The 16,441-nt window shown below is 37.7% G+C and overlaps 2 protein-coding genes across 11 annotated transcripts in view; both read left to right on the top strand.

The window, feature by feature from the left end:
- Window positions 1–5,333, top strand: part of PTPRR (protein tyrosine phosphatase receptor type R) — a 282,666-nt gene extending 277,333 nt beyond the window's left edge. For 3 of the 6 annotated variants that reach the window (NM_002849.4, NM_001207015.2, NM_130846.3), the window contains one exon: window positions 4,129–5,327. In NM_002849.4, coding sequence (NP_002840.2) covers window positions 4,129–4,222 — 94 coding nt within the window. In that variant the 3' untranslated portion in view covers window positions 4,223–5,327. Of the gene's footprint in view, window positions 1–3,733; window positions 3,888–4,128 lie in introns of all 6 variants that reach the window. The other 3 variants (XM_011538615.3, NM_001207016.1, NR_073474.2) reach the window with 2 other exon arrangements.
- The window catches only part of PTPRB (protein tyrosine phosphatase receptor type B), a 121,560-nt gene continuing 111,095 nt past the window's right edge, over window positions 5,977–16,441 (top strand). For all 5 annotated transcript variants that reach the window (XR_944651.2, NM_001330204.2, NM_001109754.4 and 2 more), the window contains exons 1-2: window positions 5,977–6,065; window positions 7,340–7,735. Coding sequence is in view for 4 of the 5 variants with exons in the window: in NM_001330204.2 (NP_001317133.1) it covers window positions 6,011–6,065; window positions 7,340–7,735 (451 nt within the window). In the remaining variant the exon portion in view is untranslated. The remainder of the gene's footprint in view (window positions 6,066–7,339; window positions 7,736–16,441) is intronic.

The following is a 16,441-nucleotide window of genomic DNA, read 5'->3' as shown; positions in this document are numbered from 1 at the left end:
CCTAGGAGTTCAAGACCAGCTTGGGCAACATGGCAAAACCCTCTCTCTCTCTTAAAAAACAAAACAAACAAAACAAACACAAAAAACACACACACACAGAAAAAATTAGCTCAGTATGGTGGCATGCACCTGTCATCCCAGCTACTTGGGAGGCTGAGGTGGGAGAATCACCTGAGCCTGGGAGGCCAAGGCTGCAGTGAGCTGTGATTGCATGACTACACTCCAGCCTGGGCAACAAAGCAAGACCCCATATCAAAAATAAGAAGAAAGAAGACTCTGTTGACCTTTCTAAGAATGGATTACCTGTTATAGAGCAAATGCTATCCTCTGGCCTCAACCTCCTGTGTAGTTGGGACCACAGGCATATACCACCATGTCCAGCTAATTTTTCTTTTAAATTGTAGACAGGGTCTAACTATGTTACCCAGGCTGGTCTCGAGCTCCTGGGCTCAAGTGATCCTCCCACTTTGGGCTCGAGTGATCCATCCAGCACTCCCAAAGTGCTGGGGTTATAGGCATGAGCCACTGCATCCAGCCAATAGACTATTCTATATATCAATATATGCAATAGGACATTTATTTAATATTTTCAGAGATGATTATGATGAGTTCCTGAATTTGAACCAGCCTCCAGTGAATGCATCCTGGAATACCTTTTGCTTTCTTTTAGCCTAGAGTTTATCTGTTTTCACATGACATGAAAATAGCATGACCTGGGTAATTCATTTGACAAGTATTTACCTAGGACTCGTAAGTGCTTTTTATTGTTACAAGTAGAAGAAGACCATGCCATTATGCTTGTAGGTCTTTAAAGGACCTACAACCTAGTTGGAAATAATTATAGAATGGGATTAGATAGTATATATCATGATATCAACTTACTCATATTAAAGACCCTACTTTGTCTCTTTTTCTATTTTTTAATAATGCCTTAGATAAAAAGATGTAAGGGATCCTTGTTAAATACCTGGGAGACACAACGCTGGGAGTGAGAAATGGAAGACTAATATATTGACGATAGATAGTGATCCAGTAAACAAGAGCATTGTGCTGAAACTAACAAGTTGAAATTAACAAGAATAAATAGAAAGCCTTGCATTTAGTTTCAAAAATCCAGTAGCATAATTACAGGATGGGAGAAAGCTATAATGTCCACATTCAAAAAAAGTCTTGTTGACTTTTTATTTAATCTACACCGTCAGTTAGTATCTTAAAATACTACCGAGAACCAGGCACCATGTAGGCACTGGGGGACCTCACCACCTGATGCACCTGCAAACACAGATCTATTGGTCTCTAACGTGCAGCTGGAAGAGAAAATAAGCCTGCTTCATAGATCTCATCAGAAGGAGACACAACTCTCTAAGAAGGTCATATTTGATAAAATAGCCTGTAGAAGAGGGAGACTAGAGTGGTGAGTGACAGAAAAACCAGGCTGTACAGAAATATTGAGTGACCACAGGATGTTTAGTCTAAAGAAGAAAAGATTATAGGACTTTGATGGCTGTTTTCCAGCCTTTGGAGAGCTGTTGTGTGACTACAGGGGAGCCTTAAGACGTCTTTTGGGTTATTTCAGTTGGACCAATGCGGTGAAAGTTAGAAAGGACAGATTCATGTTGATGTCTTAAAAGTTTTCCTGCCAACCTTGGAAAAGGCTGCCTCTAAAATTGCAAGATTTCTAAAAAAGCTATATTGTCAGTGACTAGAATGGATGATCTCTAAGAATTCCTCTGATGCCAGTTTTTTTCATTTTTATTTTCCAAATTAAGTGGGAGGTAAGAGAACTTTTCATATACTTTCCTGAAGCCTTCAGACCTGCAAGAATTTTGCCAGCCCACAATTAATGAGTATGCTTCTCCATCTTCCCCACTTTCACTGGCTAAAACAACCTTGATTTAGTGAACAGAATGTCATAGTAAATATACTCCAACCATTAAATTACACCACTGACCCACTTAGGGTGAAACAGTTATTAAATTCTAAACTGTGTCTCCATTCATTCACCAGTTGGACATGTAAATACCAGTGCTGACCAGAACATACAAGAAGGGGAAAATCTTGCCTCAAAGTGAGGTAAATGGTGAGAGGAAGCTGACAGACCAGAGCCTAAGAGGTGGAGCACATAGAAGCTTCCACATACTGTCTGCAGCTCAAGAGGGAGTAATGGTGCCCTGAGCTGTGCAAATGCCAGAGGAAGGGAGGCACCTCTCAGCTCCCTGGAGCTACCCTAATATTTACTGTGGTGGTGTCTCCCAAGCTTCACAGTTCAAGCCAGCATCTTCGGAACACCTGCTATGATTTTAGATGAGCCCAGATGTCATCACACAGCTAAGAAGATAAACCATTACCACATTCTCAGCTGGCCATTTCTGTTGTTCACTTCTGACCAAGGAATACTTAGCCCAGAAGGTTGCCTTCAATGCAACAAAATGTACAGCTCTAGGGGAGGAAGACCAATTAAATACTTCTGTCAATAAGTTGCTGTCACCAAAAACTGTGAATTTACCTCTTTATTTTTTGCCAATTACATCATTTTGACATCATGTTAATTTTCCTGGGGAATCACTGTTTAGTTTAAAACAAGGAAGTTTTACTGCTCTAATATTGACATAGATTGACAAATAAACATAGAAGCCCAGTTTTTATTATTACCATTAACTAGAAGTCTTGTTACAGTGAGACAAGATATCTTGTTTTTAAGTTGAAGTGCCTAAATAATCTGAAAGTTATTTTGAATGATACTAACAACCACTTGGAAAAATCTGGTTAAAACATAGAGTTAAACTAAAAGATAAGATCAGTTGCATGATTGCAGAGTTACAGAGAATTTACAAGACTTTAAATAGTTACCGATAGTGATGCTTTTATACAGTGAGCAGGAATAGTAACATATTAATGTCTGGTAACTTTGTCAAGCTAAAAAATCATAATTATAGGACTGGACACCGTCGTTCAAGCCTGTGATTCCATCACTTTGGGAGCCCAAGACAAGAGGATCACTTGAGTCCAGGAGACCAGCCTGGGCAACATAGTGAGGCCTTGTCTCTACAAGAAAAAAAAAATTTAAAAATTGTCCAGGTGTGGTGGTGCCTGTGGTCCCAGCTACACCAGAGGCTGAGGTGGGAGAATTGCTTGATCCCAGGAAGTTGAGGCTGCACTGAGCTGTGATCATGCCACTGCACAACAGCCTAAGCAATTAAGGAGACGTTTTCTCAAAAACTAAAATTAAAAAAGGATCATAATTATGAAGGGGGAAAATGTGATATAGGTATTATGTATATAAAAACATAATGAGAAGCACCGTTATTTCTCATGAAGGCAAGTGCTTTCTATGAATCCATTGACAAGGAGGGTGCTGGGCAGCTAGTGATGATAATGGTGATAACCAAGAGGAAAATGTCACAGCAGAGCCAATTCCCTTTTTCCAACTCATTTAAGGACCCACCCACTATTGTGTTTAGACACCCCGTACACCAAAAGGCTAAGGTTGCTTCTGTACAACATATTCAAATAAACCATTCCAAGGTAGACTTCATTTTACTTGTAGAAAGCAACATTTTGCAGATGAGTTTTGTTTGGTTTGTCTCCGTCAATCAATTTTAAGCCAAATGTATAAACCATTTTAACAAGAGATGAATCATGAGGCACCTGAGAAGTAATACAAATATACCAGCTACAATGAATTTATTTAACCTTCACAGCAGTAGTTACTGTTACTATCCTGCTTTAACAGAGGAAGAAACTAAAGTGCAAGGGGTTTCGAGGAATTTGTCCAAGATGCATACAGCTAAGAATTGGCAGAGGAGGGATTTGAACTCACCTTGGCTGATGCCAAATCCAAGTACTTGATCATTAGGCTGTACCACCTCCCCAGTAATGTTACACAGGTAAAAATTAATCACGTGCCTAGTGTGTGCTGGGAACTGTGTTAAGCCCTTTATATACATTACCATGTTAACTTTGATAGTTGAGACATTTGGACACAGGTAAGAGGGATAACAAAAGAACCACTAGGTCGACTGTTCTATGTGTCTTTGGCATAATACCCTAGCTTGGATGAAATCTCTGTGTTACTTGAAATTGCAAGATTTTAGCAAAATCAGTTATTTTATGATTTCTTCCTTGCAGAGGTGGAATGGTGCAAACCAGTGAGCAGTATGAATTTGTGCACCATGCTCTGTGCCTGTATGAGAGCAGACTTTCAGCAGAGACTGTCCAGTGAGTCATTGAAGACTTGTCAGACCATCAATCTCTTGGGGTGATTAATCAAATTACCCACCCAAGGCTTCTAGAAGGAGCTTCCTGCAATGGAAGGAAGGAGAAGCTCTGAAGCCCATGTATGGCATGGATTGTGGAAGACTGGGCAACATATTTAAGATTTCCAGCTCCTTGTGTATATGAATGCATTTGTAAGCATCCCCCAAATTATTCTGAAGGTTTTTTGATGATGGAGGTATGATAGGTTTATCACACAGCCTAAGGCAGATTTTGTTTTGTCTGTACTGACTCTATCTGCCACACAGAATGTATGTATGTAATATTCAGTAATAAATGTCATCAGGTGATGACTGGATGAGCTGCTGAAGACATTCGTATTATGTGTTAGATGCTTTAATGTTTGCAAAATCTGTCTTGTGAATGGACTGTCAGCTGTTAAACTGTTCCTGTTTTGAAGTGCTATTACCTTTCTCAGTTACCAGAATCTTGCTGCTAAAGTTGCAAGTGATTGATAATGGATTTTTAACAGAGAAGTCTTTGTTTTTGAAAAACAAAAATCAAAAACAGTAACTATTTTATATGGAAATGTGTCTTGATAATATTACCTATTAAATGTGTATTTATAGTCCCTCCTATCAAACAATTACAGAGCACAATGATTGTCATTGGGTATATATGTATTTACTCTCTATTATTGGGCATAAAGGTGGCTTCTGCTCCAGAACTCTATCCACTGTATTTCCACATCGTGAGTCATTTTACTTTAAAAGGGAAAAACAAATTTGTAGCAACTCTGAAGTATCAAGAGTTTTAACTACTTGTCTCTCTTTTGCTAAGAAGGGATTTTTGAATATGCTATCTACCTGGAATCTCTCTCTCAACAAAAGGTATATGCCTTCAGGAATGATATAATCTGTCCCATTTTCGAGGCTCCTTATAAGGACATTTCCATGTATGTCCTTACATTTCTGAAAGCTTTCAATCTTCAAGAGACAAAAAAAATTAAAATAACTACCCTCAGCAAACACTAGCTGTTCTGCTCATATATGAATTTTTAATGCAGCAATGTTGACTTTGTTTCATACTGCCAATAAACTCTTAATACTAAATACTGAGTAAAGCATATTCTTTTTTTTTTTTCTATTTGGAAAGACGCCATCCTCTGTTTGGGGAAGACCAAAGTAGATAATGTGATGGGTTTAATTTTAGTGTCTGCATCTCCCCAGTGAAGATGACGATCTCAAAATGTAATATTGTCATCACTTGGGAGATAATGATCTAGAAGTGCCATCATTATGTGGTTTTCCTCAATAGACTCGCAGCATATCATTATACAAACAGTACATGTTTATGTCTTTATATCACTTGTCATAGACCCTCATCAATTACATGGCTTATGTTTATTCAGCAGAATCACATCACCTGAAGAGATGTAATGTTTCAGGAACATTCAATTATCTGAGATTTCAATTCCTTTCTTTCTTCTTGAGGTTAAGAAGCAGTCACATGCCAAAGGAAAGGTAGGTGAGGTCTTAACGAGATTTACTCTGCTCTTGAAGGCTGGAATATTTTCTACATTAAAAAAAAGAGGTAATCATAATCCCTTCTTTCTAAGGAAACAGACAAAAGGACACTGGTGTAAAACTTCCCCAAACAATTCAATAGGAGGAAGTGCTCGTCACTGACTTTTCCCCCCACCATGAAGGCACATTTCCTTCCTAGTCTTTGCTTCTCTTATCTGGGAGAATTTTTTTTTTCCCCAAGCGAAGCATGAACAGTTGCTAAGTGGAAAATGGAGGCTGAATTTTACATGGTGATTCTTACCTGCTTGATCTTCAGGAACTCAGGTGAGTGGGTCTGCCTCAGTGTCCTGAGGCATTTCTTCAAGATCTAGCCAAGGAGTCCCTGGTCTTTGAAGTGTCTGAAATAAGGTAGAAGGGGCCAGGTCTCCATGGCAGTTTAGCCAAAGACGATGAAAAGCAGGAATAAAAGGAGCCAGCTATGCCCATACTGTTGAGATTTCTCTCCAAAAGAAAATAAATGCTCTCCTCTCATCCTCCAAATGCTTCAGGCAGCCCCTGAAATGATACATTTAGAGCAGAGCGTAAAGAACCCCGAGGAAAAGTTTGTATTATTATATAACAGTCTGTGGCTTTCCCCAAGCCTTTTTCCGACCCGGTTATAGTTTTATTTTCTTTTGTGTTGAAGAAAGAAAATTGAAGGAATATGATTAAAGGGGGTGAGGAAATGTAGTGTGTTTTATTTGGAAGTTGTCATTTGGGAGGGCTGAACATTTTCATGAGCGAGCTGGGCAATTTAAGTAAAACCTCATTGAAAATGGTTTCTGAGCCAGAGTATCTTGCTCTTTAATACTGATGTTTAGCAATTTGATGTTTAATTTTCTTACACTGGCACATGATGATTTTTAGAAAATCTATTCGTATTTGAGAGAAAACTGTAGATATTGTCATAAAATAGAGAAATGCTCCTCTCCACGACTAAAGGAAATTTAGTTTGTGATAATCAATACTTTCATTGGCTGCAATTAGCTAGGAGGTTGTGCTTGGAGAAGTGGGAAAATTTGTTTTATTTTTTGATAAATGTATGCAATTTTAAAAAATTGTTATTCAAACTATGAAATTTGTATATAAATACTGCAATGTGAATTTAAAGACTGGAAAAGGGGGTGCTTTTTTAAGGTAAGGGAGGAAGCTTATATCGAATATGTCAAATGGTTAAAAAGGGAGCTGAGCATTTCATAACTTCAGCATATCTAACTAATTGGGCTAAAATATACTATATACTTTGGATGGTTTTGTTTCTTTCCAAGCTTCCTTTCATTTTCCAATAAGAGGTGTGCTTTTTTCCCCTAAAGCATGTGAAAATTAAAAAAAAAAAAAAGATGGGGAGTTAAGTGTAACATATTGACATTTTATATCGTCAGCTTTGGAATTTTAAATCACATGTGTTAAATATGAGAATGTTCACTTGAAATGATAGAAATAACAAAATATAAGTAAAACTAGTGATTTTATTTAGCTCATTTGTGGGTGGGTTCTTCCGTTTTCTAATGGGCCTCATAATTTGCTACATAGTGCTTTATGAGCTTTTCATCTTCCAGAAGGGTTTCAGATTGTCCATGTCCAGAAACAACAGTGTCTTTTCAAAAATGAGAAAGTGGTCGTGGGCTCATGCAACAGGACCATCCAGAACCAGCAGTGGATGTGGACTGAGGATGAAAAGCTCCTTCATGTTAAATCTGCACTGTGCTTGGCCATCTCCAACTCTTCCCGCGGCCCCTCCCGCTCAGCCATCTTGGACCGCTGTTCCCAGGCACCCCGATGGACCTGCTATGATCAGGAAGGCTTCCTTGAGGTGGAAAATGCCTCTCTCTTTCTCCAGAAACAAGGCTCCAGAGTAGTGGTCAAGAAGGCCAGGAAATACCTCCATAGCTGGATGAAAATAGATGTCAACAAGGAGGGAAAACTGGTCAATGAAAGCCTCTGTTTACAAAAAGGTGAGCTATTCCTTTCAGAGCAAATCCTGAAAGTCTTTCTACTAAATATCTTGGGGGTTTTGTTTGTTTGTTTGTTTGTTTGTTTTACATTTAAGGGAAGTCCACATGCCCCAACATATTTCCTATGGAAGATTCATAAGCTAATGGAGGTGGATGGTGACGTGCCCAATGATGGAAAACTTCATGACCCTCATTAAAATAAGCCCAACTTTTTCTATTGCTTTTTCTTCCTTCCCTTCTTGTCTTGCTTCTTTTATTAATTCAACAACTATTTCATGAGCCTCTCTTCTCTGCCAGTTAAGCACTGTTAGATGTAGGAATATGGATGTAGGCATATACACAGCCTATATATGTAATGACTAAAGTCAGTAATCGGAAAATTATTAGATTTTATTGACAGACACTTCTATTTGCTAATTATAATAAATTATTAGAACATCAGAATGGTGCTTGATAAGACTGGAAGATAGTTGTGTTTTTGCAAATCTCTTGTATTGCTGTTTAGGGGTAGATATCTTTTGGAGGTAACACACTTTTGAAATGTTAAGAATCAATGGGCAGCCACAGATTTTTCTAATTTATTGACCATTAATGGATATAACCCAGATAATGGACACATGTAGAAAATATGTTATACACATGTGCAAGCTCCTGGTGCAGGACACAGTTCAGTCCTGAGCTAGGAATTTTTGCTTGTGGAATATATAGGCAGTTTAATCTTCTCTTGAAGTTAATCATGCAATTGTGTATTTACTCTTCTATTAGAGGTTTGCTTTAGAAAGTCATGAAAGATAAAACTGATGAATCACAATATATTAGGCACCAATGAACCTTACAAAGCATGGGAAAAGTTATCAAGAAACGAAGCGCCTCACTAAGAAGACAAATTTTTCAGGGTTAAGTAAATTGTCCCAGATAAATTAGCAGCAGATCTATGATTAGAGCCTAAGTTTTTTGACTCTTTGTTCAGTGTACATTTTACTATACCAGAGGTTCCCAAATGCTTGACCACAGACTTGCCCCATGGCTTGCCTAAGAATCACCTGGGGTAGAAAAGGGAGGGCTTACTAAAAATACACATTCCCGTAGCTAATGCATCCTGGGCTTAATTCCTAGGTGATGGGTTGATAGGTGCAACAAAGCACCACGGCACACGTTTACCTATGTAACAAATCTGCACACCCTGCACATGTACCCCAAAACTAAAAATAAAAATTTAAAAAAAAATACACATTCCCAGGATTCTTTCCCACCATTTTTTCCTCTACAACCACCTCCAAGATTCTGTTTCAGGAAATCTGGATTTGTGCATAATACTTGATATTTATTAATCACCAGAAAATTTTGATCCATAATCCAATATGGAGATCAGCATCCACTGTATTGTTAAGTCTTTTCCTTAGGTGTTGATTTGTGAGGCTTATATTAGTCTTTCCACCATGGTAATCTTTGGACAATTTTTTCTCACTCATTCATTCTGTAAGTTAAAACAAGCATTTAACTAGATGCCATTTGAATGTGTTATGCTTTTCTACAATAAGTGGTATGCTTTGCTACAATAAAAGTTGAGAGTTATAGTTTCTGTTCTTATATCATTTCTGCCTATGAGAAAAAAACCTACTCAAAAATTCAACTTTATCAGAAAATATTCAGCATATAGCACCAATTTGTACAATACCTTTCCTGTGGTTCATCTATCAAGGCCTCTCCTAAATAATATAGAAACATTATAACTGTTCCATTTTTACTGTTTTACACAAGAAGTGAGATTCATCCCCAAACCCCAATCAAACCTTATTTAACATAAGATTACTTAGTTGGAACTTTAAAAAAAAGTAGATATGGACTCAGTGGTGAGTTATTCAAGATAAAAGATAATTCATAGAAAAACTACCTCCTATGACCCTCATACAAATATGTCTAGTAATAGACTTCGAAAATAAGGTAACTAGAATAAGCCATTTGCAATTAACCACTGAACAATGCTATATTCAAAAAATGCCTGATAATATGTGTTGGGGAAAGAAATTAATTTCTAGAAAAAGCAGAAGTTAAAATTTGCACAATTGTGGTACAAAAACACCCTTATATTTGAGTACACATAAGTATAACACATACTTTTGCTTTAACACAATTATAAGCTAACAGATATATTTTTCTGCTCCATCTTAAATATGCCATTGTGGGGTTTTTTCTTTTTGTTTTTGTTTTTTCTTTGGTTTTTGTTTTTAGAAACAAAGTCTTGCTCTGTTGCCCAGGCAGGAGAGCCATGGTGTGATCATAGCTCAATGTAGCCTCCAACTCCTGGGCTCAAGTGATCCTCCCACCTCAGCCTCCCAAAGTACTGGGATTACAGGCATGAATCACCATGCCCAGCCCTGATAAAAGTTTAAGAATAATACTTGTAGACCTATATCATGAGAGCTCACTGACTTGCTAGAGTAGCTACTGTGAAAAATTAACCGAAATGCATTCATATGTTTGCAATGAGTGATTTCAAATCATTGTTTAAGTTGGTAACTAAGTATTATAATCTACAGCAGCACAAATACATGTGTTGTTCATCTATGGGATGTGAATTTTTTTGTGTGTTCTTCCATGAAAGAAAGCAGACCTATGAAGGTAAAAATCTAAGCCACATGTTTCATATTTGTTTCATAAAAGACACATTAATGATTGTATTCAAGTTTCCAGGTAATATTTATTTAACACCTACTATGTGCCAGAGCTTGTGCTAGCACTCAGGTACCCTGTGCTAGTACTAAGGTGCCCTCCACAAGTGATTTTTGACCCAAGCTGCATATTAGACTCACATGGCAGCTTTTAACTAATACTAGAGTATAAAACCTGAGCTTTATCCTCTAAGCTGACTAAATGAGGTATTGTATTTTTAAAGTACTTCCTAGGTGATTCTGATGTGCAGCCAAGGTTGCAAATCATTAAATACATCTTATTCCTTAAAGTAATGGGGAAATCAGATAAGTAAATAAATAGGTAATTACAATAGAATGTAGAGAGAAGAAAGTACTTTCCTTTCCAATATATGTCCTTGCCAGTATGTCACATTAAGCACTCATTCCTTTTTTTTTTTTAATTATACTTTAAGTTCTAGGGTGCATGTGCACAATGTGCAGGTTTGTTACATAGGTATACGTGTGCCATGTTGGTTTGCTGCACTCATCAACTCGTCATTTACACTAGGCATTTCTCCCAGTGCTATCCTTCCCCCAGTCCCCCACCCCCCGACAGGACCCAGTGTGTGATGTCTCCTGCCCTGTGTCCAAGTGTTCTCGTTGTTCAATTTCCACCTATGAGTGGTACACGCGGTGTTTGGTTTTCTGTCCTTGTGATAGTTTGCTGAGAATGATGGTTTCCAGCTTCATCCATGTCCCTGCAAATGACATGAACTCATCATTTTTTATGGCTGCAATAGTATTCCATGGTGTATATGTGCCACATTTTCTTAATCTAGTCTACCATTGATGGACATTTGGGTTGGTTCCAAGTCTTTGCTATTGTGAATAGTGCCACAATAAATATACACGTGCATGTGTCTTTATAGTAGCTTGATTTATAATCCTTTGAGTATATACCCAGTAATGCAATCACTGGGTCAAATGGTATTTCTAGTTCTAGATCCTTGAAGAATCACCACACTGTCTTCCACAGTGGTTGAACTAGTTTACACTCCTACCAACAGTGTAAGTGTTCCAATTTCTCCACATCCTCTCCAGCATCTGTTGTTTCCTGACTTTTTAATGATTGCCATTCTAACTGGCAAGAGATGGTATCTCATTGTGGTTTTGATTTGCATTTCTCTGATGACCAGTGATGATAAGCATTTTTTCATGTGTCTGTTGGCTGCATAAATGTCTTCTTTTTAGAAGTGTCTGTTCATATCCTTTGCCCACTTTTTGATGGGGTTGTTTGTTTTTTTCTTGTAAATTTGTTTAAGTTCTTTGTAGATTCTGGATATTAGCCCTTTGTCATATGGGTAGATTGCAAAAATTTTCTCCCATTCTGTAGGTTGCCTGTTCACTCTGATGGTAGTTTCTTCTGCTGTGCAGAAGCTCTTTAGTTTAATTAGATCCCATTTGTCTATTTTGGCTTTTGTTGCCATTGCTTTTGGTGTTTTAGTCATGAGGTGTTTGCCCATGCCTATGTCCTGAATGGTATTGCCTAGGTTTTCTTCTAGGGTTTTTATGGTTTTAGGTCTAACATTTAAGTCTTTAATCCATCTTGAATTGATTTTTGTATAAGGTGTAAGGAAGGGATCCAGTTTCAGCTTTCTACATATGGCTAGCCAGTTTTCCCAGCTCCATTTATTAAATAGGGAATCCTTTCCCCATTGCTTGTTTTTGTCAGGTTTGTCAAAGATCAGATGGTTGTAGATGTGCGGTATTATTTCTGAGGGCTCTGTTCGGTTCCATTGGTCTATATCTCTGTTTTGGTACCAGTACCATGCTGTTTTGGTTACTGTAGCCTTGTAGTATGGTTTGAAGTCAGGTAGTGTGATGCCTCCAGCTTTGTTCTTTTTGCTTAGGATTGTCTTGGCTATGTGGGCTCTTTTTTGGTTCCATATGAACTTTAAAGTAGTTTTTTCCAATTCTGTGAAGAAAGTCATTGGTAGCTTGATGGGAATGGCATTGAATCTATAAATTACCTTGGGCAGTATGGCCATTTTCACGATATTGATTCTTCCTATCCATGAGCATGGAATGTTCTTCCATGTGTTTGTGTCCTCTTTTATTTCGTTGAGCAGTGGTTTGTAGTTCTCCTTGAAGAGGTCCTTCACATCCCTTGTAAGTTGGATTCCTAGGTATTTTATTCTCTTTGTAGCAATTGTGAATGGGAGTTCATTCATGACTTGGCTCTCTGTCTGTTATTGGTGTGTAGTAATGCTTGTGATTTTTGCACATTGATTTTGTATCCTGAGACTTTGCTGAAATTGCTTAACAGCTTAAGGAGATCCAAAATTTCAGCCCAAAGCTGAGACTATGGGATTTTCTAAATATACAATCATGTCATCTGCAAACAGGGACAATTTGATTTCCTCTTTTCCTAATCGAATACCCTTTATTTCTTTCTCTTGCCTGATTGCCCTGGCCAGAACTCCCAACACTATGTCGAATAGGAGTGGTGAGAGAGGGCATCCTTGTCTTATGCCGGTTTTCAAAGGGAATGCTTCCAGTTTTTGCCCATTCAGTATGATATTGGCTGTGGGTTTATCATAAATAGCTCTTATTATTTTGAGATCTGTTCCATCAATACCTAGTTTATTGAGAGTTTTTAGCGTGAAGGGCTGTTGGATTTTGTCAAAGGCTTTTTCTGCATCTATTGAGATAATCATGTGGTTTTTGTTGTTGGTTCTGTTTATGTGATGGATTACATTTATTGATTTGCATATGTTGAACCAGCCTTGCATCCCAGGGATGAAGCTGACTTGGTTGTGGTGGATAAGCTTTTTGATATGCTGCTGGATTCGGTTTGCCAGTATTTTATTGAGGATTTTTGCATTGATGTTCATCAGGGATATTGGTCTAAAATTCTCTTTTTTTGTTGTGTCTCTGCCAGGCTTTGGTATCAGGATGAGGATTCCCTCTTTTTCTGTTGATTGGAAAAGTTTCAGAAGGAATGGTACAAGCTCCTCTTTGTACCTCTGGTAGAATTCGGCTGTGAATCCATCTGGTCCTGGACTTTTTTTGGTTGGTAGGCTATTAATTATTGCCTCAATTTCAGAACCTGTTATTGGTCTATTCAGAGATTCCACTTCTTCCTGGTTTAGTCTTGGACACATTATGAGTCCAGGAATGTATCCATTTCTTCTAGATTTTCTGTTTTATTTGCATAGAGGTGTTTATAATATTCTCTGATGGTAGTTTGTATTTCTGTGGGATCGGTGGTGATATCCCTTTATCATTTTTTATTGCATCTATTTGATTCTTCTCTGTTTTCTTCTTTATTAGTCTTGTTAGCAGTCTTATGTAGTTTGTTGATGTTTTCAAAATAACAGCTCCTGGATTCACTGATATTTTGAAGGGTTTTTTGTGTCTCTATCTCTTTCAGTTCTGCTCTGATCTTAGTTATTTCTTACCTTCTGCTAGCTTTTGAATTTGTTTGCTGTTGTTTCTCTAGTTCTTTTAATTGTGATGTTAGGTTGTCAATTTTAGATCTTTCATGCTTTCTCTTGTGGGCATTTAGTGCTATAAATTTCCCTCTGTACGCTGCTTTAAATGTGTCCCAGAGATTCTGTACATTGTGTCTTTGTTCTCATTGGTTTCAAAGAACATCTTTATTTCTGCCTTCATTTTGTTATTTACCCAGTAGTCATTCAGGAGCAGCTTGTTTAGTTACCATGTAGTTGTGCGGTTTTGAGTGAATTTTTTAATGCTGAGTTTTAATTTGATTGCACTGTGGTCTGAGAGGCAGTTTGTTGTGATTTCTCTTCTTTTACATTTGCTGAGGAGTACGCAGTCATTCTTTAAAAAAATGTTTCAAGGGTAATTTTAAAGTTGCATATTTTTAAACAGTCTTTTGGGGGCACACAAGAGTTTATCATATTAATAGTTTAGCTAGCACCATTATTACTAACCACTTCTTCTTCCTGAATAAATTAATAAATGTTTCAACTTTGTGCAAAGTGTTTACTGTCAGAACAGTAAAGGAAAAAGGAATAATAAAGCTTTAAGGACTACTTTCAGGAATGCCATGAATAGTTAGTGTATGGCATCATAAATTATTGCTTTTGTCTTCTGTGCAATCCAAGTATAATTTTTAAACTCACCAAGCAATCAAATGTTACAGTTGACCAGGCACAGTGGCTCATGCCTATAACCCCAGCACTCTGGGAGGCCAAGGTGGGAGAATTGCTTGATGCCAGGAGTTCAAGACCAGCCTGGGCAACACAGCAAGACCCTATCTGTAAAAGAAAAAAAAGTTACAGTTGCATCTATTCCAGCAAGAAATAGCACTGGCCCCAAGCAGACAACAAAGCTTACAGTGACCCAGTTATTGAAGTTTTATGAATCTATCAGATGGGGAAAATTTCTCATGCCTTGGCCTGTACAGAAACAGGGAAATTTACTCAAAGGAAATTACTGGTTTGCTACTAGATCTAAGCAAATATTCCTTGCCAGGGGGAAATTAAAACATTATAAACTCAAAACTGGTTTCAAAAACATTCACGCAAATCCATGGGCCGATAGGCCATGCCTATGTCATTCCAGAACTTTCAGGTGAAGGGTGCAGAACTCCATCCATGGTTTGGATAACTTTTCGAAGGAATGTCAAGTCTCCTTACATTTATAAAAAGCTAGTCAATTGTCTAAAATTGTTATTTTTCACTCAGACATTTCATTCTGTGAAGAAAGTAACACTGAATATAGAATGTCAGCCAACCAATCAGCATTTATTCATTTATTTACCACTCAATTCAGATTCATTCATTCAAATCTCACCTTTATCTGAGGGCAGGAATTTTCTTTTTTAATTCCAAGGGCTGCACTGGAAAGCAGGCAAATATTTGTAGGCAAATTTTCAAGTGTCCCTGATATGGCCGAACCGGTAAAATCCCTAAAAGAGATTTTGCTGATGAACTAAACCATATTGTTGGCAGGCTCGATTTAACTGCTGGTTAAAGTAATTGTTTAGTTGTAGTGATTTGGGAGAGGGAATAAAATGTGTGAACATTGTAAAAGATAAGCAATCATATACACCCTTGGGAAAAAAGTTTTCGTAGAAGTTGTTGGCTTTACTGGCCGGCAGAAGTACTTGTGAATACGAAGAGCTTGTGGGGAAAAACAAAACAAAACAGAAAGTGCCTTTTGTGTATACAAACCCTACTTGTACTAAATTGGCTGTCACGGTCATTTTAGGGTTTTTCTTCTTGCATCATTGTAACAACATGGGCCTTGTAGTGGACCATTTTTAAATATAATGTCTGAAAATAATGTTATCAATGATTATTGATATATGATTTATATGATCATTGAAGATAGCAGGTATAGCATCCAGCATTCCCCAACCATATTCAGCCTGTGACATGTCACTGAACTTATCAGGGCACACACAGGGCTATGTATGACTTTCATGGGCCCTGGGTTCTTTTGCCTCTATGGTCCCTTTCCTCTGCTGAAAAAAAGAAAAGTAAAATAATAGATTTTCATGTAGCCTAAAATTGTCATTTTTCCTAATCTATGAAAAAGTTAAAACATTTTCTTTGACTCTAAAGTTTCTTTTTTATTTTCAAACAAATTAAATCATTGTGTTGCCCTAAAATTATCATGGGCCCTAATCACTGTGCCTATTGCGTCTAATGGACAAGTCAGTCCTGCGCACGCCAAGTTATTCACCCCCTTTCCAGCTCCCCTTTCCCTGACTCTGTTTAGTCTCTGGTTCAACACCTCTCTCCTATAGCCTGATAGCCCTGAACTTTGGAGCCATTCTTCCTCCTCCACCCAGCATGCCTTCCTTCCACCCTACTATTTCAGTCTTTTCTCCTAAAGAAAACATAGGGTGTTAGGTAAAACAGGCACATCTTCATAATGCCATGCATAGTAGAATCGTTGAGTAATAGTTGGCTATTGAAATGTATTTCTTTGATTTAGTTAGCCTTTCAATTATTTTTTTAGTCTAATTTATTCCCTGTGCTATGCTTTAGTGTTTTACTATGCTATGTCTTGTATCAATTTCCATTTATTAATTTTA

Source organism: Homo sapiens, chromosome 12 (genome assembly GCF_000001405.40).
Source record: "Homo sapiens chromosome 12, GRCh38.p14 Primary Assembly".
NCBI classification, from domain to species: domain Eukaryota; kingdom Metazoa; phylum Chordata; class Mammalia; order Primates; family Hominidae; genus Homo; species Homo sapiens.
This window is presented reverse-complemented; position numbering and strand designations above follow the sequence as displayed.